The sequence below is a fragment of the Homo sapiens genome, chromosome 12 (assembly GCF_000001405.40).
Source record: "Homo sapiens chromosome 12, GRCh38.p14 Primary Assembly".
Taxonomy (NCBI): domain Eukaryota; kingdom Metazoa; phylum Chordata; class Mammalia; order Primates; family Hominidae; genus Homo; species Homo sapiens.
This window is the reverse complement of record NC_000012.12, coordinates 102,926,693-102,951,203: the sequence shown is the minus strand read 5'-3', so window position 1 is coordinate 102,951,203 and position 24,511 is coordinate 102,926,693. Positions and strand designations below refer to the sequence as shown.

The following is a 24,511-nucleotide window of genomic DNA, read 5'->3' as shown; positions in this document are numbered from 1 at the left end:
CGCCCCGTGACGGCATAATAAATAATTAGAGGGTTTAAGCGTGTTAGCCACAGCTCATGCTAATGAGCCAGATAAGGGCTCACGCTAACCCGAAGTGACAGTTTGCATATAGGAGGGAAGAAGAAAAAATCCTGCTTCCCCCCCCACGCACAAACTTGATTGCTCCTTCTCAAATTCATGTCCCCAAATCCCTTCCCCCATTCCTCGGACTTCCCTCTTCTCACATGCCCCCACTTCAGCCACAACACACACACTATCCGTTTTTGACCCTTCCTTTGCCTTTCACCGGGTCAGACGGCATTGTGACGTCACAAAACCCCTGGGTGCCTATATCTGACCTGCGCGGAAAGTTCATTCTGAGTGCGTCCTGGCGAGTCTCAGCCCCCAAGCGGGTGGAACGCACCAAGGGTCTCATCCGCGAGGAAGGGCTTTAACGCTCAGGGTCAGGAACCTCTGAGAGCTCTTGGGGACTTGCGCGCCCTTGGATGCTCTTGCGTTCAACAGGGCTAGGAGACTACCGGCTGGGGCGAGGAATGCAGGCGCCTAGAGCCTTGGAGCTCCTGAAACGTTCCTGCCGCCTCCGGAAAGCAAGGGCAGTTTACCGAAGTGACTGAGGTCAGTCGTGTGTCCCCATTGTGTGGCCACGTGTCCTGTGTCCATCACCACCTTCCCAAAGTCCAAGCTCAGCCCGACTCCTTGCGGTGCGGCCTGGGAATGCTCTGGCCTATAAATCAGCTTCGTGGCTGGAGCTGTCTCCACCACCGTGGCAAACCTGGACGCTGGCCCCGAGGGCAAAGGGAAAGTGTACTCCTAACAGATTCAGGAGGAAGCAGCCGCAGCCTGAGCGCGGCATCTGCCAGGGAAACTGTGCGCCCCAGGTCAGCTAGTTAACTATTTCATCCCTCCCCACCACTCTTCCCTAGGCCAAGTATTTGCAGCACGGGCAGGGACCAGTAACTGATTTTCAGGCCTTTTGAGAGGAAGAGGAAGAGAGAGGAAGAGAAGGATTTCTAATAGTAGATATTCACTCTCATGGACTCTTTAGGAAACAGCAACAAAGACAAGATTAAGTAAGTTGATATTTTTAAAATGCTGACAACAGTGCACATAGTAAACACTGGATATGTGTTAAATAAGTACAAACAGACAGAAATAGATAACAGGAGGTATATGCTAATCATCTAAGATGTTAGAAAATACTGTTCAGATCTAAAAATGATCAAGGCTGACATGCTCATTGATTCATCAAATAACTATGAAACCTAATCAGAGGGGAATAAGACACAATGAGTGCCTTCAATACATTTGTGACTTAGTAGACATTAAAGCAGATGTATAAGAAAGTCCATTAAAACATGCGGTGGGGGCAACCATGGAGAATCTTCTTCCCCATGGTCCCTTCTCTTTGGACTCCCACCTTCCTGCATCTCCCACCCCAAATAAATACACAATCTAGGTAAAAGTGGTGGACTTGTTATGCAAACACATCCTAATGTCATCCAGCCCCTCTTCCCCAACCAGATGGTCACCCCTAAGCTTCTCCTATATAACAATTCATGAGCAGACACTAATGATTTCAACATACACACACCCTTTGACACGTTACTGTTAGGTGCAATGAAAAGGCAAGTCACTTAAAGAGACAGATCCCAGAAAATCCTGAAACTTTCTACCTCTGTGACCTCTGGCAAGTTGCTCATCGTCTCTCAGGCTCTATAAAATGAGAGGGTTGAGTAAGATGCCTCCCCTCTGATTCTGACTAAATAGAGAATACAGGCGTGGACCACATGATCCTCTAGTGGCAACCATTCCTCTCTTTGAATAGACGAACTTGGTTTGCTGTTCTTCTCCCACTGCCCTCCTGCCATAAGAACCTTCATTAGGCAAATGATGTCATCAGTGAGACCAGTCCTTGCTGGTGCCAGGATTATGGCTCTTGGTAGCCAGAAGGCAATGTCATTGGGTCAGCATGACTTTAGCCCTGGGGACTAGGGCAAGAGATCGGCCATTGGCACCTCAGGATGCACATGCAAACGGATGAAACTCACCATTGTCGCCGACAGCATTGCTTGGGAAATAGGATTCTCCTCTACTCCTGGGCAGTTTTGGGTCTAGGAATTGGGACCCCGAGAAGCTGTAATTTCTGCGAGTTGTGTGGGTCGTTCGCCACCTGCCGGTTATTTCGCAAACTGCAGCTGGGACTGCGAACATTTGCAACTTGATTCATTCAGGACTACTTGATTCTATTCCATTAATTCTTCTCCATACAATTTGGTTCAACCATAGAGCATCGTGAGGACTTAATGACGTTCTCCCCTGATACTCCCATTAGAGATAACTGAGATGTTTGTTAATATTCAGATTCTGAAGCTTTATCCCAGACCCACCAAATCAGAATCTGGCAAATTGGCTCTTTTAGCAAGCTACCTGGAAGTCCTTTTGTATACTAAAGATAAAGAACTATTTCTCTAGAGGTATTCTGGGTGATAAGACAGTCTCCATTACTCAGACTCATGAAGAACTAATATATTCTGATAAAGAAGTTAAACTAGCCATGTAAATATGTTAATACTTTATTTGGGTAAGAGGATGCCCTAGTGACTTGAGGGGGAGGAGAGGCTCAGTAAGTTATTACAAAGATGGCCTTTGATACTGGCCCTGAAGAATGGTCAGAAACTTGCAGCGGGAAGAAAAGATCCACAGGAACAACCTACCCAGCCCCGGAGCCTTTCGCTTCCTTGACTTTCTCCACTCCAGTAGCCTTAACCTCCATTCCTCTTCAGCCACCCCTTGCAAGTCTGCATCTTGGGCTTTGTCTTTACCCAAAAGAGCCCCACTTTGGAAATCTTAACTTTCCATTCCCATATGTAGCCTCATCCTCTGATTCTTCCTCATCCTCACTTCTGCCCTACCTCTCTCCAACCTCCTTTCCTGAGCTCTATTTCTTCCAATCTGGTCTCCCCCCAACTCAGGAAAGTTTGATTGATTAACTCATAAACCTGTAACTTATAAAATGCGTACCTTCCCATCCTAAAAAAAAGGCTGATACACTCTCTGACCTTGTGACCACCTTCAGCCCTCTGACAAATTTTTTGAACATTAGTCAACACCCACAGTTTCATTTATTTCTTGCTCTTCCCTCTGGAGTACCCAGAGTGTGTCTGTGGGAATCTTTCTGGATGAGGGGGGCTGAGTAAAGATTGTGGGTAGGGCTCATCCAATCTGTTGAGGGACTGAGGATGAGTGAGGGAGAACTTACTCTCTCTACCTGTCTTGGAGCTGGGGCACTAGTCTTCTCCTAACTTTGGACTCAGACTCATACTGGAACTGTAGTCTGGGTCCACAGTTTGTCAACTGCAGATCTTGGGACTCAGCCTCCATAACCACACGAGCTAATTTCTTGAAATACATGTCCATCTACATCTAATTTCTTACTGGTTCTTTTTTCTGGAGAACCCAGACTAATACAGTCACCCCGACTCTATTTTGCTACACATAAAAGATAAATCAGGTCCTACTTTATTTGATCATCTCAATGCATCTGGCCCTGCTGATCACTCATCTCTTCTTGAGATTCTCTCCTCCTTTGACTACCATGGTTCTTATCCTTCTGATCCTTTGTTTCTCAGTACTTAGTTTTTTTAGTTTCTCATCCCCAGTGTCAAGTTCCTTGATGACATATGCTGCCCTTAGAGTTTAGCTTCCACCTCTTCTGCTGATGACTCTCAAATTCTTGGTTCTGGACTGACCTCCCTGGGATCTGAAACTGGTGTGACCAACATTGCTACTGGAATATTCCATGGATGTATCAAGGGCAACATATTTGAAACTGAGATCATGCTTATTCCCTCAACTCGTTCCCTCCTTTTGTGTTCTATATTTCAGGGTTTAGCACCATCTGCCCACACAGTCAAACCAAAATCCTGGGGTCATGCCATACTCTCACCACTCTCTCACAGGCACTCCACAACCACCAAGTCTTAACAATTATACACACACACAGACACACACACACATATACACACACAAACACACACATTTAGTATGTATATAATATAAACAAATGTACATAATGAAAAATCCATCTGAATTTAAATCATTTTCTTCCTCCCTATTACTATATCATTGCTTTACTTCAGTATTGTCCCAGCTGGTATTCATGCTTTTAGTTTAATCTCCCTCAAATACTTTTTCTTCACTGCCACCAGAATGATCTAACTAAATGTCACAGTCACACGTATAAAAGGCATCAGAACATAAAAAAATGGAACTTTATATTACAGCCCCAGACAAAGAGATCTTTACAAAGTATCACATACCCTATTGCTCCTCTACAAAACCTTTCAGAACAGGGGAACAGGATGGCTGAATAGAAGCCTTCACCTATCATTCTCCCCACAGGAACACCAAATTGTGTGACTATCCACACAAAAAAGCATCTTCATAAGAACCAAAAATCAGGTAAGCCATCACAGTACGCTATTTTAGTTTTATATCACTGAAAGGGACACCTAAGAAGGTAGAAAAGACAGTCTTGAATTGCTGATGCAACTCCTCCCCCATCACCCCAACACTCCAGCAGCAGTGGACGCATGGCATGGACAGAGAATCTGTGTGCTTCGGTAAGGGACAGCAAAGGGATTGTGGGACTTGGCATTGTCCTGCCCTGCCATAGTGGAAAGCAACACCAGGCAGAACTCAGTCAGCACCCACAGAGGGAGCATTTAGACCAGGCCTAGCCAGAGGAGAACTGCCCATCCTAGTGTTCAAAAGTTTAGTTCTTGCAAGTCTCACCAACATGGGCTAAACAGCTCTTGGGTACTAAAGAAACTCAAAAGGCAGTCTAGGCCACAAAGACTGCAATTCCCAGGCAAGTCCTGACGCTATGCTGGGCTCAGAGCCAGTGGACTTGCGGGGCACATGACCTAGTGAATCCCCAGCAAGGGTTGCCAAGGGAGTGCTTGTCTCACCCCTCTTCCAACCTCTGGCAGCACAGCTCACAGCTCCAGGAGAGACTCCTTCCCTCTGTTTGAGGAAAGGAGAGGGAGGAATAAAGAGGGCTTTGTCTTGCAACTTGAATATCAGCTCAGCTACAGTAGAATAGGGTGCTGGGCAGAGTCCTGAGGTCCCTATTCCAGGCTCTAGCTTCCAGACAACATTTCTAGACACATCCTGGGACAGAAGAGACCCCACTACCTTGAAGTGAAGGACCCAGTCATGGAAAGAACCTTTGGGCCCTGAATGATCAGCAACAGTAACCAGGTAGTATATTCCATGGGCCTTGGCTTCAGGTGTGACCCAGCATATTCCTAGCTGTGGTGGCTATGAGGAGAGACTCCTTCTGCTTGAGAAACAGAGGGGGAAGAATAAAGGGGACTTAGTCTTGGAGCTTGGGTATGAGGTTGGCCGCAGTGGGGTAAAATAGCAGGCAGGCTCTTGGGTTCCCAATTCCAGGCCTTGGCTCTTGGATGGCATTTCTGGACTGCCCTGGGCCAGAGGGGGCCCACTCCTCTGAAGAGAGAGTCCCAGACCTTGCAGCATTCACAACAAGCTGCCCGAAGAGCCCCTAGCCCTTGAGTGAAGATCAGTGATAGCCTGGCAGTACTCCCTGTGGGTCTGGGGCAGTGGTAGCCAGGGTGAGAGACCCCTCTGTTTGTGGAAAGGGGAGGGAAGAATGGGAAGAACTCTGTCTTGTGGCTTGGGTGCCAGCTCAGCCACAGTAAAAGAGAGCACCAGGTAGTTTCCTAAGGTTTCCAACTCCAGGCTCTGGCACCTGGATGTTGAAGAGTTAGGTGTTTAATACCCTACTTGCAGTATGGGCTTCCATCTCTGGACCAGCCTAAGGCTGGGGAGAATGTGTCACCCTGGCTGGCTTTGCCACCTACTGATTGTAGAGCCCTAGGGCCTTGAGTGAACATAGGCAGTAGCCAGGCAGTAGTTGCCACAGGTCTTGGGCTACATCCAGTGCTGTGCTGGCTTCAGATCTGACCCAGTGAAGTCCTAGTGGTGGTGACCACAGGGGTGCTTGTGTCACTGCTCTGCTCCCCCAGCTCCAGACAGCTCAGCACAGAGTGAGAGACTCTATTCATCTGGGAGGAAGTAAGGATTAAAAACAAGAGTCTCTGCCTGGTAATCCAGATAATTCTTCTGGACCTTATCCAACACCACCAAGGTGGTACCTCTGTAAGCTTGCAAGAGCCACAGTATTACTTGGTTTGGAGTTTCCCCTGTTGCAAATGCAGCCGCAGTGATCAAAAACTTGGATTACAATATCCAAATTTATTAGAATACCTGGAAATCCTTTCCAAAAAGTACTACTACAAACAAGCCCAGATGGTGAGAACTATATAAAACACTAACTCTTCAATGCCCAGACACCAATGAACTAGATGGTCAAGTATCAAGATCATCTAGAAAAACACGACCTCACCAAATGAACTAAATAAGACACCAGGAACCAATGCTGCAGAGACAGAGATATGTGACCTTTCAGACAGGGAATTCAGAATACCTGCTTTGAGGAAAATCAACATAATTCAAGATAACATAGAGAAGGAATTCAGAATTCTATTGGATGAATTTATCAAAATTTAAAACAATTAAAAAGAATTGAGCAGAAATTCTGAAGCTGAAAAGTGCAATAGACATACTGAAGAATGTATTACAGTCATAAGATAATTGACGAAGCAGAAGAAAGAATTAGTGAGCTTGAAGACAGGCTATTTGAAAATACACAAAGGAGACAGAAGAGTAAAAAAGAATGAAGCATGCCTACAAGATCTAGAAAATAACCTTAAAAGAGCAGACCTAAGAGTTGTTGACCTTAAAGAGAAGGTAGAGAGAGAGATGGGGGTAGAAAGTTTTTCAAAGGCATAATAACAGAACTTGCTGAACCTAAAGAACAATATCAATGTTCAAGTACAAGAAGATTATAGAACATTAAGCAGATTTAACCCAAATAGGACTACCTGAAGACATTTAATAATCAAAAAAGGTCAAGGATAAAGGAAGGAGGCTAAAAGCAGCAAGAGAAAAGAAACAAAAAACGTGCAACGGATCTCCAATACATCTGACAGTAGACGTTTCAGTGGAAACCTTATAGGCATGGAGGAAGTAGCATGACATATTTAAAGTGCTGAAGGGAAAAAACTATTTTTTCTTTCCAACTTTTATTTTAGGTTCAGGGACTATACCTACAGGTTTGTTACATGGGTGAATTTTATATCACAGGGGTTTGGTGTACCGATTATTTTGTCACCCATGTAGGGAACATAGTATCTGATAGGTAATTTTTCAATCCTCACCCTTCTCCCACCCTCCAACCTCAAGAAGGACTCAGTATCTATTGTTCTGTTTTTTGTGTCTATCTTCACTCAGTGTTTATTTGGTTTTCTATTCTTGCATGAATTCACTTAGGATAATGGCCTCCAGCTCTATCCATGTTGCTGCAAATGACATGATTTCATTCATTTTTATGATATAATATTCCATGGTGTATATGTCGTACATTTTCCTTATCCAGTCTACCATTGATGGGCATCTAGTTTGATTACATGTCTTTGCTATTGCTAATAATGCTGCAGCAAACTTGTCCACGTGGGTATCTTTATGGTAGAATGATTTATATTCCTTTGGGTATATAATATAATGCTGGGTCGAATGGTAGTTCTGTTTTAAGTCCTTTGAGAGATCTCCAAACAGCTTTCCACAGTGGCTAAACTAATTTACTTTCCCACCAGCAGTGTATGAACATATCCTTTTCTCCACAACCTCACCAACATCTGCTACATTTTTATTTTTTCATGATCGCCATTCTGATTAGTGTGAGATGGTATCTCATTGTGGTTTTGATTTGCATTTCTCTAATGATTAGTGATGTTGAGCATTTTTTCATATGCTTGTTGGGTGTGTGTATGTCTTCTCTTGAGAAGTGTCTGTTCATGTCCTTTGCTCATTTTTAATGTGGTTGTTTGTGTTTTGTTTATTAGTTTAAGTTCCTCACAGAATCTGAATATTAGACCTTTGTTGGATGCGTAGTTTGCAAATATTTTCTCCCATTTTGTGGGTCTTCTTTTTTCTCTATTGATACTTTATTTTGCTGTGCTGAAGCTCTTTAGTTTAATTAAGTCCCACTTGTCAATTTTTCTTTTTGTTAACAATTGCTTTTGGTGTTTTCTTCATGAAATTTTTGTAGCGCTGATGTCCAGAATGGTATTTCATAGGTTTTCTTCTAGGGTTCTTAAAGTTAGTTTTAGGTTTTTAAAGTTTTAGGTCTTTTAATCATCTTGAGTTGACTTTTGTATATGGTGAAAGGAAGGAGTACAGTTTCAATCTTCAGCATATGGCTAGTCCTCTATCCCAGCACCATTTATTGAGTAGGTATTCCCTTCCCAATTGCTTATGATTGTCAGCTTTGTTGAAAATCAGGTAATTATAGATGTGCAACTTTATTTCTGAATTCTCTAACCTGTTCCATTGGTCTATGTGTCTGTTTTTGTAACAGTACCATGCTGTTTTGGTTACTTTAGCCTTGTGGTATGGTTTGAAGTTGGGTAGTGTGATGCCTCTGACTTTGTTCTTTTTGCTTAGGATTGTTTTGAATACCTAGGTTCTTTTTTGGTTTCATATGAATTTTAGAATGGTATCTTCTTATTCTGTGAAAAAAAATGTCATTGGTAGTTTCATAGAAATAGCAATGAATCTGTTGTGGGTAGTATGGCCATTTTACCAATGTTAATTCTTCCTACCCATGAGCATGGAATGTTTTTCCATTTGCTTGTGTTGTGTCTGATTTCTTTCAGCAGTGTTTTGTAATTCTCATTGTAGAGATCTTTCACCTCCCTGGTTAGCTGTATGCCCAGGTATTTTATTATTTTTGTGGCTATTGTGAATGTGATTGTGTTCTTAATTTGACTCCCAGCTTGGATGTTATTGTGTACAGAAATGCTACTAATTTTTATACATTGATTTTTTTATTCTGAAACTTTTATGAAGTTGTTTATCAGATCTAGACGCCTTAGAGCAGACACAATGGGGTTTTCTTGGTATAGGATCATAACATCTATGAAGAGAGATAGTTTGACTTCCTCTCCTATTTGGATGTCTTTTATTTCTTTCTCTTGCCTGATTACTCTGGCTAGGACTTCTAGTACGATGTTGAATAGGAGTGGTGAGAGTAGGCATCCTTGTCTTGTTCCAGTTCTCAAGCTTCCAGTTTTTGCTATTCAGTATAATGTTGGCTGTGGATTCATCATAGATGGCTCTTATTATTTTGAGGTGTGTTCCTTTGATGCCTAGTTTGTTGAGGGTTTTTAACATGAAGGGATGTTGAGTTTTATCAAAAGCCTTTTCTGCATCTATTGAGAAGATCATGTGGTTTTTGTTTTTAGTTCTGTTTTTGTGATAAATCACATTTATTGATTTTCCTATGTTGAATCAACATTGCATCCCAGGAATATAGTCTACTTGATCACTGTGGATTTGCTTTGCGATAGTTTCCTGCTATTTTTGTGTGGTTTTCTAAGTCTTTTTGTAGACCTCTAAGAATTTATGAATCTGGGTGTTCCAGTGTGGGGTGCATATATAGTTAGGATAGTTAAGCCTTCTGGTTGAATTGAACTCTGTATTATTATGTGATCCTCTACTTCATTATTTTTTATCATTGTTGGTTTAAAGTCTGTTTTGCCTGAAGTAACAATATCTATCCCTGCTCTTTTTTGTTTTCCATTTGCTTGATAGATCTTTCTCGATCTTTTTACTTTTAGCCTATGGATGTCATTCATGTCAGATGGTTCTCTTGAAGACAGCATATAGTTTGGTCTTGCTTCTGTATCCAGCTTGCTACTCTGTGTCTTTTAATTGGAGGGATTTAGCCTACTTACATGCTAGTTTAATATGGAAATGTTCAGATTTGATCCTATTATTGTGTTATTAGCTGGTTGTTACATAAATTGTGTAGTTGCTTTACAGTGTCAGTGGTCTATGTACTTATTGTTGTGGCCAGTAATGGTTTTTTGTTTCCATGTTTAGCACTCCTTAAAGATCTATTGTAAGGCAGGTTTGTTGGTAATGAATTCCATTAGCATTTGCTTGTCTGAAAAGAGTTTTATTTCTCCTTTACTTTTGAAGTTTAGTTGGTCTGGATATAAAATTCTTGGTTGGAATTTATTTTCTTTAGGAATGCTGAATATAGATCCCCAATCTCTTCTGGTTTGTAGGGCTTCTGCTGAAAGGTCAGCTGTTATCCTGATAGGGTTTCCTTTGCAAATGACCTGCCCTTTCTCTGTAGCTGTCTTTAATATATATTTTTTCCACACTGACCTTCGAGATTCTGATGACTATGTGTCTTGGGGATGGTCATCTTTTATAGTATATCAGAGGTTCTCTGAATTTTCTGAATATGAACATCGACCTCTCTAACAAGATTGGGAAAATTTTTGTGGACGATATTTTCAAATATCTTTCCCAAGTTGCTTGCTCTCTCTTCCTGTCTTTCAGGGATGCCAGTGACTCATAAGTTAGGTCTGTTTACATAATCCCACATTTCTCAGAGGTTTTGCTTATTTTAAAAATTTTGTTTTTCCTTATTTTTGTCGCACTGAACTAATTCAAAGAACCAGTCTTTGAGCTCTGAATAATTTCCTCAGCTCAGTTGATTCTGCTGTTAATATTGTGTTATGAAATTCTTGTAGTGAGTCATTCAGCTCTATTAGATCAGTTTGGTTCTTTCTTAAAATGGAAATTTTGTCTTTCATCTCTTGAATCATTTTACTGAATTCCTTAGATTCTTTGGATTGGGTTTCAGCTTTCTCCTGAATCTCTATGATATTCATTGCCATCTAGATTCTGAATTTTATGTCTGTCATTTCAGTCATTTCATTCTCCTTAAGAAGCATCACTGGAAAGCTAATGTGGTCTTTTGGAGATGAGAAGCTTTGGCTTTTAGAATTGTCAGAGTTGTCATGCTGGTTCTTTCTCATCTGTGTGGGATGATGTTCTTTAACTGTGGTGTCATTTGAGCAGTCAATTGGCTTCATTTCTAGATGTTTTCAGAGGGCCAGTCTTTGTGCAGGGTCTGTCTTTGTGGCTGAATTCTTGCTCATGGTTTCACAGTGGGATGTATTAGCAAAGTATTTTTGCTATTGTAGTTTCAGCTGCAGTTCAGTAGATGGCACTTAAACATAAGGGCCATTAGATAGGTTCTCACTCAGTTGCATGGCTCCTCTGTATTTCCTCCTGCTTGCCTCCATCCTCTCAGTGCTCTGACAGTGTAGGCTCCTCTCCCAGTCAAGTGCTGGCCACAGATCTTGGCTTGGCACTCCCAGGCTGCACACTGCAGCCCTGGGGCAAGCTTGGGCTTTTGTTTCCTCCCTAGCTTAAGGTCTGCAGGGGCAGAGACCTTGGCAGTGGCAATGGCATAAGGCCTGTCGCTTGTACCTGGGAGCTCCACCCCAGAGAAAAGCATAAGCACTGCCAATTGGAATCATCACCTACGGGTGGGGTGGCTGCTCTGTAGTCCCAAACTGGGGGCCCTGCATGGTTAAGAAGAGCAGGGAGTCAGGGTCTCACAGTGAAGAAAGACTGGGCTCCTGTCTGTATGGAAGCTGCATGATGAAGCTCTGAGCAAAATGAACAGGGTCTTTGTTCACTCCCCAGCCCAAGAGCAGCAAGGGCAGGTACCATGGCAGTGGTAGTGCCAGAGGGGTTGTCAGTTGCTTCTGGGAGCTCTGCCCTGGAGAAACACAGAGGTGCTGCCAATGGGAACGTTTAGCTGAAGGTGGGACAGCTGTGTTGCAGGCCTAAGCCAGTGGGCCCTGCCTGGTGAAGAAAAAGGTGTGTAGAGGGCTCTGGGGGAAGACAGTCTGGCCTCTTTTCCATAGGTCTTCTGTAGTGTGCTGGAAATGTGAGTAAAGCACTCAGGCTCTTTGTTGTTCCTTTCTCAGCCAGAAGGTAGCAGTGGCAATGGCAGAGAGGCTGTCAGTTGCTTGGGGGAACTCTACTTGAGAGAGACACGGGGCTGTCAGTGGAAATGTTCAGCTGGAGGTGGGATAGTTACTCTGCAGGCCCAAGTGGGGGTTTCTGCCTGATGAAGAGCAGGGTGTCAGGAGCTCACAGGGAAGAGAGACTGGGCTCCTCTCTGTATGGTGGCTGAGGCATGTTGGATATGTGAGCAAAGCAATCAGGGTCTTTGTGCGTTCCCCAACCCAAGAGCAGAAAGAGTTGATATGCTGCCGTGGCAATGGCAGAGAGCCCGTTAGTTGTTTCTAGGTATTCCACCTCACAGAAATGCACAGCCACCACCAACTGAAGTGAGAAGGTGGCTGTGGTGGGAGCCCAGGTTGGGAGGCCCTGCTGAGTGCAGTGTAGCAGGGGCAAGGACCAGTGTCAAGAATAATCTGGCTCCTTTTCTGTATGGCATCTACTACAGCATGTTGGAGGCTTGAGACAGTATTTGGGCTCTTCACTACCTCCCTAGCCTGAGGGAAGTAGAGGTGAGGGCCAAGACAGCAGACAGCAAGCAGCAGCAACTAAGGGTCTGTCATTTACCTCTGGGAGTTCTGTCCCAGAGAAATGCAGAGCTGCTACTGGCCCAAATGCTTAGGTGGGAGTAGGGTGGCTGTTCTGGGGTCCTGGGCCAGTGGGCTTTGCCTGAAGATATGAAGCAGAGGTGAGGCTTGCAGTCTGTCCCTTCCTCAGCACTGTGGACACAAACCCTATCCTGGGGGTTAGCAAGAGAGCCTGGCATTCCTTATTGGTGAAATACACACTTACAGCAGGTGGTGTCGGGGTGCTCAGGGATCCAAGACCCTTGGGGATCCATGTGAGCCTGAGTGGTAGCTCTGCCCGGACTCTAGGCAGTTGTCCATGTCAGTTTGGAGGCCTGGGAGTGGGGCGTTGTGGGGAGGGTCACAGGGAAAATCCTGTGCCCAGAATTGCAAAGATCTATGGGAATAGTGTGGTCACTGGGGCCTCTTGCTCACGCACCCTTTCCCCATGGTGGGGATACTCCCTTGCTTCCATGCCAATCCTTGGTGGGCAGCTGTCCTGCCTCATTCCTCTCTGCTCTCTGTGGTTCACTGTTGCTTCCTTGCTGAATTCCAACATGGCTTCCTGGACAATCTTGTCGAAGAGCAGTACTAAGGAAAATTTATAGTGTTTACTCACAACTTTATCTCCATTCCATGAGAGCGGTGCACAGTAGCTGCTTCGGTCAGCCATCTTGGCACCTACCCTCTGGAAAAAAATGTTTATCCTAGAGTAGTATATCCAGCCAAAAAGTTCTTCAAACATGAAGGAGAAATAAAGACTTTCCCAGACAAACAAAACCTGAGGGATTTTATCAACACCAAACTTATCCTACATGAAATGCTAAAGGGAGTTTTTTAATCTGAAAGAAAATGATGTTAATGAGCATTAAGAAATAATCTGAAGGTGAAAAACTTACTGGTAATACTAAGCACAGAGAAAAATGTAATATAATAACATTGTAAATATAGTGTATAAATTACTCATATCTTGAGTAGAATGACGAAAAGATGAGTAAATAAAAAATAATAACTACAACAACAACTTGTCAATACATTGAAAGTACAATAATATATAAATAGAAATAATAAAAAGTTAACAATCAGGGCAACAAAGTTAAAGTGTAGAGTTTTAAAATTAGTTTTCTCTTTGCTTGTTTGTTTATGCAATCAGCGTTAAGTTGTCATCGGATTAAATTAATAGGTTATAAGATATTATGTGGAAGCCTCATTGGTACCCTCAAATAAAAAACCATATAACAGGTACAAAAAAAAGTAAAAAGCAAGAAATTATAACATACCACCATAGAAAACTGCTTTCACTAAAAGAAAGACAGAAAGGAGGGAAAGAAGAAAAAGACCACAAAACAACCAGAAAAATAAGCAACAGAAATGGCAGGAGTAAGTCCTTACTTAATAATAGCATTGAATATAAATGGACTAAACTCTCAGTATTAGTTCTTTCTCACACTGCTTATAAAGACAAGCTTGAGACTGAGTAATTTACAAAGGAAAGAGATTTAATTGACTCACAGTTCTGCAGGGCTGGGGAGGCCTTGGGAAACTTACAATAATGAAGGATAAGCAAACACATCCTTCTTCACATGGTGGCAGCAAGAAGGAGTGCCAAGCAAGAGGGGGAAAAGCCCCTTATAAAATCATCAGATCTCCTGAGAACTCACTCTATCACGAGAACAGCTTGAGGGTAACTGCCCCCATAATTAAATTACCTCCCAGCAGGTCCCTCCCACTACATGTGGGGATTATGAGAACTACAATTCAAGATGAGATTTGAGTGGGGACTCAGCCAAACCATATCACTCTCCAATCAAAAGACATAGGCTGTCTAAATGGAAAGAAAAAATAAGTCTCAATGATCTGTTGCCTACAAGAAACACACTTCACCTATAAAGACACACAAAGACTAAAAATAAAGAAATAGAAAAACATACTTCATGCCAATGGAAACCGAAAAAGAGAAGGAGTAGCTACATTTAGACAAAATATATTTCCAGATAGAAACTATTTAAAGCGACAAAGAAGATCATTATATAATGATAAAGTGGTAAATTCATCAAGACAATATAATAATTGTAAATATATATGCATCCAATGATGGAGTACCCAGATATACAAAGCAAATATTATTAGAGCTAAAGAAAGAGGTAGATTCCCATACAATAATAGCTAGAGACATCAACACCTCACTTTCAGCATTGAGCAGAACACTGAGACAGAAAATTAACAAAGAAATATCAATGTAATCTGCACTATAGACCAAATGAATCTAATAGATATTTACAGAACATTTCATTCAATGGCTGCAGAATATACATTATTCTCCACAGCTCATGGATCATTCTCAAGAATAGACCATATTTTAGGTCACAAAAGAGTCTTTAAAAAGTTCAAAAATTGAGATTATATTAAGTATCTTCTCTGACTATAATGGAAGAAAACTAGAAATCAATAACAGGAGGAATTTTGGAAACTACACAAACACATGGAAATTAAACAATACGTTCCTGAATGACCAGTGGGTCAATGAATAAATTAAAATAGAAATTGAAAAATTTGCTGAAACCAGTGATAATGGAAACACAACAAAGCAAAACCTTTGGGTTACAGTGAAAGTAGTACTAAAAGAAAATTTTATACCTATAAGTATCCACATCAAAAAATTAAAAAAATTCAAATAAACAAGCTATCAATGCATCTTAAGGAACTAGAAAAACAAGAGCAAACAAAACCCAAAATTAATAGAAGAAAAAAAAATAAAGATCAGAGCAGAAAGAAATAAAACAAAGAAAACAATACAACAGATCAACATAACAAAAAGTTGGTTTTTTGAAAAGGTAAACAAAATCAGCAAACCTTTAGCCAGACTAAGAAAAAAAAGGGAGAAGACCGAATTAAATAAAATCTGATATGAAAAAGGAGACATTACAACAAATACCACAGGAATTTAGAGGATCATTAGAGGCTACAATGAGCAACTGTACACCACTAAATTGGAAAACCTAGAAGAAATGGATACATTCCTAGATACATAAAACCTACCAATATTGAACCATGAAGAAATCCAAAACCTGAACAGACCAATAACAAGTAACAAGACCTAAGCCATAATGAAGTCTTCCAGCAAAAAAAGGCCTGGTACCCAATGGCTTCATTGCTAAATTTCACCAAACATTTAAAGAAGAGATAATACCAATACTACTCAAACTATTCTGACAAATAGAAGTGAAGGGAGTACTTTCAAACTCATTCTACAAGGCCATTATTACCCTGATACCAAAACCAGATAAAAACACATGAATAAAGGAAACTACAGGCCAGTATTCCTAAAGAACATTGATGCAAAAATCCTTGACAAAATACTAGCAAAAGAAATTCAATATCACGTTTAAAAGATCATTCATCAAGACCACGTGAGATTTATCCCAGGATACAAGGATGGTTCAACATTTACATATCAATCAAAGTGATACATCATATCAACAGAATGAAGGACAAAAACCATATGATCATTTCAACTGATGCTGAAAAAGCATTGGATAAAATTCAACATCCCTTCATGATAAAAACTCTCAAAAAACTGGGTATAGAAGGAACATACCTCAACACAATAAAAGCCATATATGACAGACCCACAGCTAGGGTCATGCTGAATGGGGAAAGACTGAAAGCCTTTCTTCAAAGGTCTGGAAAATAACAAGGATGCCTACTTTAACCACTGAAGTTCTAGTTAGAGCAATCAGACAAGAGAAAGAAATAAAAGGCATCCAATTTGGAAAGGAGAAAGTCAAATTATCTTTATTTGTAGATGACATGATCTTATATTTGGAAAAACCTAAATACTTAACCAAATAACAGAACTGGCTAAACAAATTCAGTGAAGTTTCAGGATATAAAATTAACATAGAAAATCAGTAGCATTTCTATATGCCAGCAGCAAACAATCTGAAAAAGAAATGAAGAACATAATCCCATTTACAATATCCACAAATAAAATAAAATACCTAGGAGTTAACCTAAGAAGTGAAAGGTCTCTACAATGAAAACTATAAGACATTGATGAAAGAAATTGAAGAGGATGCAAAAACCATAGAAAGATATTCCATATTCATAGATTGGAAAAAATAATATTGTTAAAACGTACATACTACCCAAAGCAACATACAGATTCAATGCAATCCCTATCAAAATATCAATGACATTCTTCACAGAAACAGAAAAAAAATCCTAAAATTTAAGGTACCATGAAACACCCAGAATATCCAAAGCTATTCTGATCAAAAAGAACAAAACTGGAGGAATTGCATTACCTGGCTTCAAATTATAATACAGAGCTATAGTAACCAAAACAGGATAGTACTGGCATAAACACAGACACACAGAGCAATGGAAGAGAATAAAGAACACACAAACAAATCCATACATCTACAGTGAACTCGTTTTTAACCAAGGTGCCAAGAACATACACTTGGGAAAGGACAGTCTCTTCAATCAATGATGCTGGGAAAACTGGAAACTCATATGCAGAGGAATGAACCAACATTCCTATGTCTCATCATATTAAAAAATCAAATCAAAATTTAAGACCTAAAACTATGAAAATACTGAAAGAAAACATTGGGGAAACTCTTCAGAACATTGAACTGGGCAAAGATCTCTTGAGTAATATCACAAGCACAGTCAACCAAAGCAAAAAATGAACAAACGGGATCACATCAAGTTAAAAATGCTTTTGCACCACAAAAGAAACAACAAAGTGAAGAGACAACCCACAGAATGGGAGAAAATATTTGCAAACTCTACATCCGACAACCAGTTAATAACTGAAATTACAAAGAGGTCAAACAATTGTATGGGAAAAATTCTAATAATCCAATTGAAAAATGGGCAAAAAAATCTGAATAAGCATTGTGAAAAGAAAACATATAAATGGAAAACAGGCATATGAAAACGTGCTTGATATCATTGATCATCGGAGAAATGCTAATCAAAACTGCAATGAAATATCATCTCACCCCAGTTAAAATGGCTTATAATCCAAAATACAGGCAAAGGAACTCTTGTATGCTGTTGGTGAGAATGTAAATTAGTACAACCACTATGGAGAACAGTTTGGAGGTTCCTCAAAAATTGAAAATAGAGCTACAATATGATCTAGTAATCCCACTGCTGGGTATATACCCCAAATAAAGGAAATTAGAATGTTGAAGAGAAATCTGCATGCCCATGTTTATTGCAGCACTATTCACAATAGGCAAAATTTGCAAGCAACCTATGCCTATTAACAAATGAATAGATATGCAAAATGTGGTACTTATACACAATGGAGTACTATTCAGCCATAAAAAGAATAAGATCCTGTTGTTTGAAAAAACATGGATGGAACTGGAGGTCATTATGTTAAACGAAATAAGCCAGGAACAGAAAGACAAACTTTCCATGTTCTCACTTATTTATGGAGGCTAAAAATTAAAAAGATTGAATTTTTGGAGACAGAGAGAAGAACAATGGGTACCAGAGGCTGAGAAGGATAGTGTGGTGGTGAAAGCGTGGATGGTTAATGGTACAAAAATATAGTGATATAGAATGAAAAACGTCTAGTATTTGACAGCACAACAGAGTGACTATAGTCAATGATAATTTCTTGTACATTTTAAAATGAAAGAGCATAATTGGATTGTTTGTAACACAAAGAAAGAATAAATGCTTGAGGTACAGGATACCCTATTTTCCATGAGTATAAGCGTGCAATGTGTAATGTGACCATTAAGCATTGCATGCTTGTATCAAAATATCTTATGTACTCCATAAATATACACCTACTACATACTCACAACAACTAAAAATTAAAAATTAAAATAATGAAAAACCTTTCAGTAGCCTCCCATTATTCTTATAAGAACCCACTGCCTTTGAAGTTCCCGTAAGAGTGAAAAACCTGCTTTGCCTCCTTTCATGAACTCAGCACTCACTGTGGTGTCTCAAAAAAGGCAGATGTTCTATATACACCTGTTGAAGAAGTGAATTGAGTTGGTGGTACCAAAGCTGCTTACAAAATGTAAGATATATGTATATGTAATACAGGAAGTGGCATGCAAAACACTTAATTTAATAGTCTCAGAAAAACTGTCCTTCTCCTCTTGTCATCTCTGTAGCCTCATTTATTCCTTGGCATGGGCTCTCTAGGATCACCAGCGATCTTTTTATGTGAATATCTTCCTAGCCTCAAGCAACTGGGTCTTCTCTCCAAGGAGCCCACAGAGTTTGGTGCTTATTTATTGAATAGCAGGCATTTAATAAATGTTCATTGTAGTTGATATTGATGGTTTCACATAATCATGGTTGTTAACTTGTCAAAGTCTTGTGCCATTTCCTTCTCATAAGCTGTAAGTATAAGAAGGGCACAGTGGGAAGAGCAGAGGCCCTGTAATGGTGGGTCCTAGGGTTTGGGATGGTTGGGCAGGGTAGGCTTGGCTTTGGGAAGCCTTGAATGACAGACAAATGGTTTGGTTGGGATGGCCTGGGAGATTTGTAAGCAGAGAGGTAACACAGATGATAAGTCTGAAGGAATGGAAGGGGGATTGGAGGAGACAGACTCTGACGACCTCAAACCCCTTTCCTAACATCACTTTTTCTGAGCTTGTTCAGCACACACACCGCCATTCATTTATTCTTTCAACAGACACTAGAATGTAAGCCCCAGGATGGCAGGGGCTGTGTCTGCTTCATTTACCAGTGGTTTTTTGGTGTCTAGTACAGGGGCTGCCACATGATAGGAGCTCAATAAATATTACTGCATCAACGTTTATTGGATACCTACTATGTACCAACAAAGTGGTGGGTTCTAGGATGCAAAAATTGAAAAAAGACTCAGTCTCTGTATTGAGGGAGTTAACATAATATTCCTTTTCGCAAGAGGGCAAGGAAAAAGGCTGAATGCAAAACCAGAATGTCAACAGGGTGCTAACGGAGACCAATGGAAGGGGCAACTGACTCTCCCCAGGGAAGGTAGGCAAGGAGATTGAGGGAAGTAGCAATGAAAGGAGAGCTTGCAAAATGAAGTCATCAGAGCTTTGCATAAGAAACAATTCATGGACCTTAGATCAAGTAGTGAGGATTAAAACTATGTCTATGTGAGGCTTTGGCTAGTTTTTCTACCTAAGACATCCTTACCTCTCCTTTCCACTTGGGAATCATCTTCCTTTCCTAACCATCATCATCAACCCTCAAGGCAGTCAGGGGCATCTGTGGCGCATTCCCCCAGCACTTGGCCCCACACAGCCAAGCTCTAACACCTACCCACCCCACTGCTATTTCCCTCTCATAAGCTTTAAGTTGTGGGGGAGCAGGTTATTTTGTCTGACTCACATAGTTCCTGTGTGGGGGTACCTACAAATTTTGGAAGCCTGTGGCTTATAAAACTTTGGGGCTCTATTTAAGGAAAGGAATACAAAATTTTAAATATAAAATTTGATAGAAAAATGAATATGTCTTTAGAACAAAAACCCAAGTAAATGCCACCTTATTGAAGGCTGGCAAAATGCCACAAATTCCAGGTAAATTATATAATATTTTTATTAATAAATTATCTAATCAACCGCTATAGTAACTGTTTCTGTATTTTTGGTGTACACTGATTATCTCATAATTTTTACTTTCATTATCTTCAGAGAGAATAAACAGATAATTTATTTTTTCTATAACATGATTGAAATTTGTTTTTTTATTATTGATACCATAGATACGTAAGACATATTGCTTCACACACAAATATACTGAAATGTGTAGTTGTAGAACCACTAAAGATTTGTGCCTTACAAACAGGAATTCTCATACATTGATTTCACACAATTCTCCACAGAAATGGGGAAGAAAGGATGTGTGTTTTTGCTTTATTATCAAGTATATTCCTGACAAGGAGAGAAATTCTGTTTTGATCAGGGATTAGAGAGAACTAGACCCCATATAACATGCTCTCCAAACTTCTTCTCAAGACCTTAAGACCTAGTAACTCAGGAGAGTGGACAGCAGGGGTGTTCTGGAATCTCTTCTTACACCTAGACAGCCAGCAAAACAACTCTTATAAAAGTCAGTGCAAAAGATGTCAATATAACCACTAACTATACACAAATGAATTTTCATCCTATCTTGTTCTTATCTGGATCTCAAAGGTGTCTGTGGCCACTGGCCATGAGGAGAAGCATGATGGAGAGGATGTTAATGTGGGAAGAGATGGCAGTCATACCTAACTGTGGATTAACTATCTTACTTTGGCAAATTAAAAAAAAAAAGATGAAAATATGTAACCAGACAAACTCATTTCTAGAGTTCCTCTAAGAGCCTCAGAGCTTATGTAGATGTGAGGCTCTAAAGCTTTAGTTCATTAGCTACATGATGAATCTGCCTCTGCTGTCTCTGAGTAGGTGGTAAACACATACTGAATGAATGAATGGCAGAAATAAAATAAAAAGAGCATTGAACTTGGACTCAGATAGCCTGTGTGACTTTGAGCAAGTTACTTAACTACTCAGTTTATTTTCTCATTTTTAAAATGGGGTTAGCAATCTATACCTTACAGATAATGTATTTGAAAATACTCTGTAAATCAAAATGTAAAATACAAATAGAAAAATAGTTTTTAGAAAGATAACACATAATAGAAGTTCCCTAACTTAATATCTCAATGAGTCCCAGTTCCAGAGATATCTTCTCAATGATTAGACTGAAGAGCACAACTCAATAGATCTCTTTGTTCCTTCAAAAGCAGAGATGGAGCTATCTCTGAGAATGGCATTCTCTCCATCTACTTAGCAGCCTAAGAGTCATCTTTGACCTGTTTCTCATGCTGGCTCATATCTAAACTGACTCCTCTTTTTAAAATTTCTAAATTTTTCTCAAATTCATCCTATTTTCTTCATCTCCACCCTCAGTACCACTTTAGTCCAAGGCATCATGGCCATTTCTCACCTGGACAAGTGCAATCACCTATTAGCTGCTTTCGATACCCTCCATTCCACTCTCCACCTTGCAGCCAGAGTGGTCTTGTCAAAACGCACATCTAATGGAGCCACCTCTGATTACACACTTCAAGGGCACTCCACCTCTCAGGATAAAGATAAAAGTTCCTTGCCATGGTTGACATGGTCTACCCCAAGGAGCTTTCCACTCGCATCTTCAACCAAGTTCCCCATTGTTTCTGCAATATGACCTTTGCTCATGCTATTCCTTCTGCCTGGAAGGTTCTGGAAGGTTCCAGGTTCTTCCCTTCCCTTTTCATCTAGATATTTCTACTTTGCTCTCTGAGATTGCAAAAACTTCCTAGGGAAAAGTTCTCACAGCATTATGTACATCTCCTTCATGACACTTGTTAAGATTACAAATTTGAATTTATTCCTGTGATTTGACTAATGTCTGTATTAGTCTATTCTCATGCTGCTAATAAAGACATACCCAAGACCGGGTAATTAATAAAGGAAAGAGGTTTAATTGACCCACCATTCTGCAGGGCTGAGGAGGCCTCAGGAAACTGACAATCATGGTGGAAGGGGAAGCAAACACATCCTTTTTCACATGGTGGCAGGAAGGAAAAGTGCCGAGCAAAAGAGAAAAAAGCCTTTTATAAAACCATCAGATATCCTGAAAACTCATTTATTACCATGAGAACAGCAGCATGGGGGCATGAGAACGCCCCAATTTGGGTGGTGGCACAGCCAAACCATATAAATCTCCATTTGCTAAAAGAAACATAAACTCAGGAAGGCAGTTATAATCATAGAACCTAGAAAAGTGGCTCTCTTGCAGCAAAAGCTGAACAAATATTTTTAGATTGGGTGGGTGGATCTCATGTCTAGTCCCCCAAGTGTCTCCTTAGCCCTAGACCTCAGCCACCTTTTTCCCTGGTGAGACAGACACAGAGGAATTAGCAAAAGAATTTATATCCACAATCAGGTCTGTGTCTTATCAGGAAACTGAGCACCCCATGGCCTGATGGACTGTGTACCTCAGAATATGTGCCTCCAAAATTTTTTATTAGATGAGTAGTGACTGCAGTCTCCAAAACTCATGCTTTCAAATGGTCAAACCTACCAAGTCCCTGCAAGGGTCAGGGGTCTCTAAGTGGATAGGGGTGTTTAGACCACGCCCCTTCCACTAAACATTTTGCTTCCCTTGAGAACCAGAGGGAAAAGATAATGGGGACTTTCTCCAGCCCTGACATCACCATACCTGATATTTTGCTTTCTATCCCAGAAGACTACAATATCTCAGACTTCTCATCCACACAATGAGAATACTAAAAACCTATCAGTCAACAGTAATTTATTGTACATTTAAAAATAACTAAAAGTATAATTGGATTGTTTGTAACACAAAGAAAGGATAAATGCTTGAGGTGACAGATACCCCATTTACCCTGATGTGATTATGACTCATTGTATGATTGTATCAAAATATCTCATGTACCCCACAAATATATACAACTACTATGTACCCACATATATTAAACATTAAAAAATTTTAAAATAAAAGCGTATCTCATTGGACTGTAGAAAGTATCAAGTGAGATAACCTTTCCGATGTGCCTGGTACTGAATAACTAAGTGCTGAATTAATTTTTGTTTCTCTCTCTTTCCAGAAGGAATGAAATAGAAAGAATAAAGCTGAAGGACATTTCATTTATGTTCAACTAGAAATCCAATATAGTTTTAGGCAAACTATATTTTCCCTTGCAACTGTACTCCCTTACATACATGTAAGTGGGAAAGAATAAATGTGACAAACAAAATATCACTCCTGATTCCACAATCTAAACAAAACACTGCCTCTTTCTAGGTTTTGTTTTTTGGTTTTTGTTTGTTTGTTTTTTGGCATAGGGTTGGGGTGTATGCTTCTTGACGTACCTACATAATGAGGAATACAAGGCTTTGTATCTTTTATCAGTAATTATTCATAGCTTAATTGTGTAAATTGTAAAATATCACACTTTTATAATCTTAATTTTTTTTTGTGGCTGCAGCTATTATTTGAATAAACTGTAATTAATTATTTTCCCTGAGCTGAAGATTTCATTTCTCCCCACACTATCTGGAATCATGTTGCCCTGAACATACTTGTGCATATTTTTCTACATTTCTGATTATACTAGTAAGCATTGAACACATAATGTGCATCAGGCACCATGCTTAGTCCTGAGGATTTAGAAATACTGATATTTGATCTCTGTCCTGAGAGTTCTTAGTCCAGGAGAGGAGACAGAAGAGTGGAAACAAAATCACAAGAGAGTGTGTGAGTTTGCAGAGAAAACTGCCAGGCAGTATCTGGGCCAAGGAAGGATGCCCACCTCTGACTAGGAGCAATGAGTCAGAAAAAAAAAAAAAAAAAAACTTTTTTGAAGATGTAGTGTATGAATTGACCTGGTGAGTGTTGATCCTTACTCCTAAGCCTTCCATTTTGGCAGCCTCCCCTAGCTTTCACCTTGAATTTTTCTTCAGACCAAGCATACCCTGATAACTTTGGATTTGATGTCCCTTTCTCTGTTATCAATGGCTGAGCCTTCTCTGCCCCTAAGTGTCTTCTATTCCTAATGACATTGTTGCTCTGTCCTCTGAGCCATCAGACTTCAATCCAGTCCTATTTGTGACTTTGCTACCATAGTAATAGTCAGTGGGGTTGCGGTAAATGTTTAGCAACCCACCCACCCAAACAAACAGTGCTTGCTAATTATCATGGTGTAAAGACTCACTCTATGACTGACTTCAAGCTACCAACATCATGTCACTGAACACAGAATTGGGAAGAGAGGTACAGTAGCATATTATGTCATATTTCTACCACATAGATACAATGGACATAAAATAACATTAAAAGCATAGGTAGTAATAAAATGCAGTAAAGTAATTAGAAGTAATCTTCTTGGAGTATTTATTACCTTTGTTTTTAATATAATTGATTCAATCACAAATTTACATAAT

The 24,511-nt window shown here is 40.2% G+C and overlaps 1 protein-coding gene and 1 long non-coding RNA gene across 5 annotated transcripts in view, besides 1 other annotated feature; both read left to right on the top strand.

Annotated features, from left to right (window-relative positions):
* PAH (phenylalanine hydroxylase) overlaps positions 1-24,511 on the top strand; it is a 121,553-nt gene that overhangs the window by 7,238 nt on the left and 89,804 nt on the right. The gene's annotated exons all lie outside the window — the stretch shown is intronic.
* Positions 324-1,251: an enhancer, noted in NCBI's record as "H3K4me1 hESC enhancer chr12:103343731-103344658 (GRCh37/hg19 assembly coordinates)". NCBI's record gives its function as "activates a minimal SCP1, AML or CMV promoter by ChIP-STARR-seq in naive H9 embryonic stem cells {active_cell/tissue: H9 hESC(naive)}" and the evidence as "EXISTENCE:reporter gene assay evidence [ECO:0000049][PMID:30033119]".
* On the top strand, positions 359-23,325 carry LOC112267865 (uncharacterized). 4 transcript variants are annotated; one of them, XR_945279.3, is made up of 5 exons: positions 359-615; positions 924-1,070; positions 4,402-4,461; positions 19,459-19,550; positions 23,176-23,325. It is a non-coding gene; the product is annotated as an uncharacterized LOC112267865 (long non-coding RNA). The 4 variants fall into 4 exon arrangements; XR_945280.3 differs by lacking the exon at positions 19,459-19,550; XR_246028.3 differs by lacking the exons at positions 19,459-19,550; positions 23,176-23,325 and adding an exon at positions 6,051-6,948.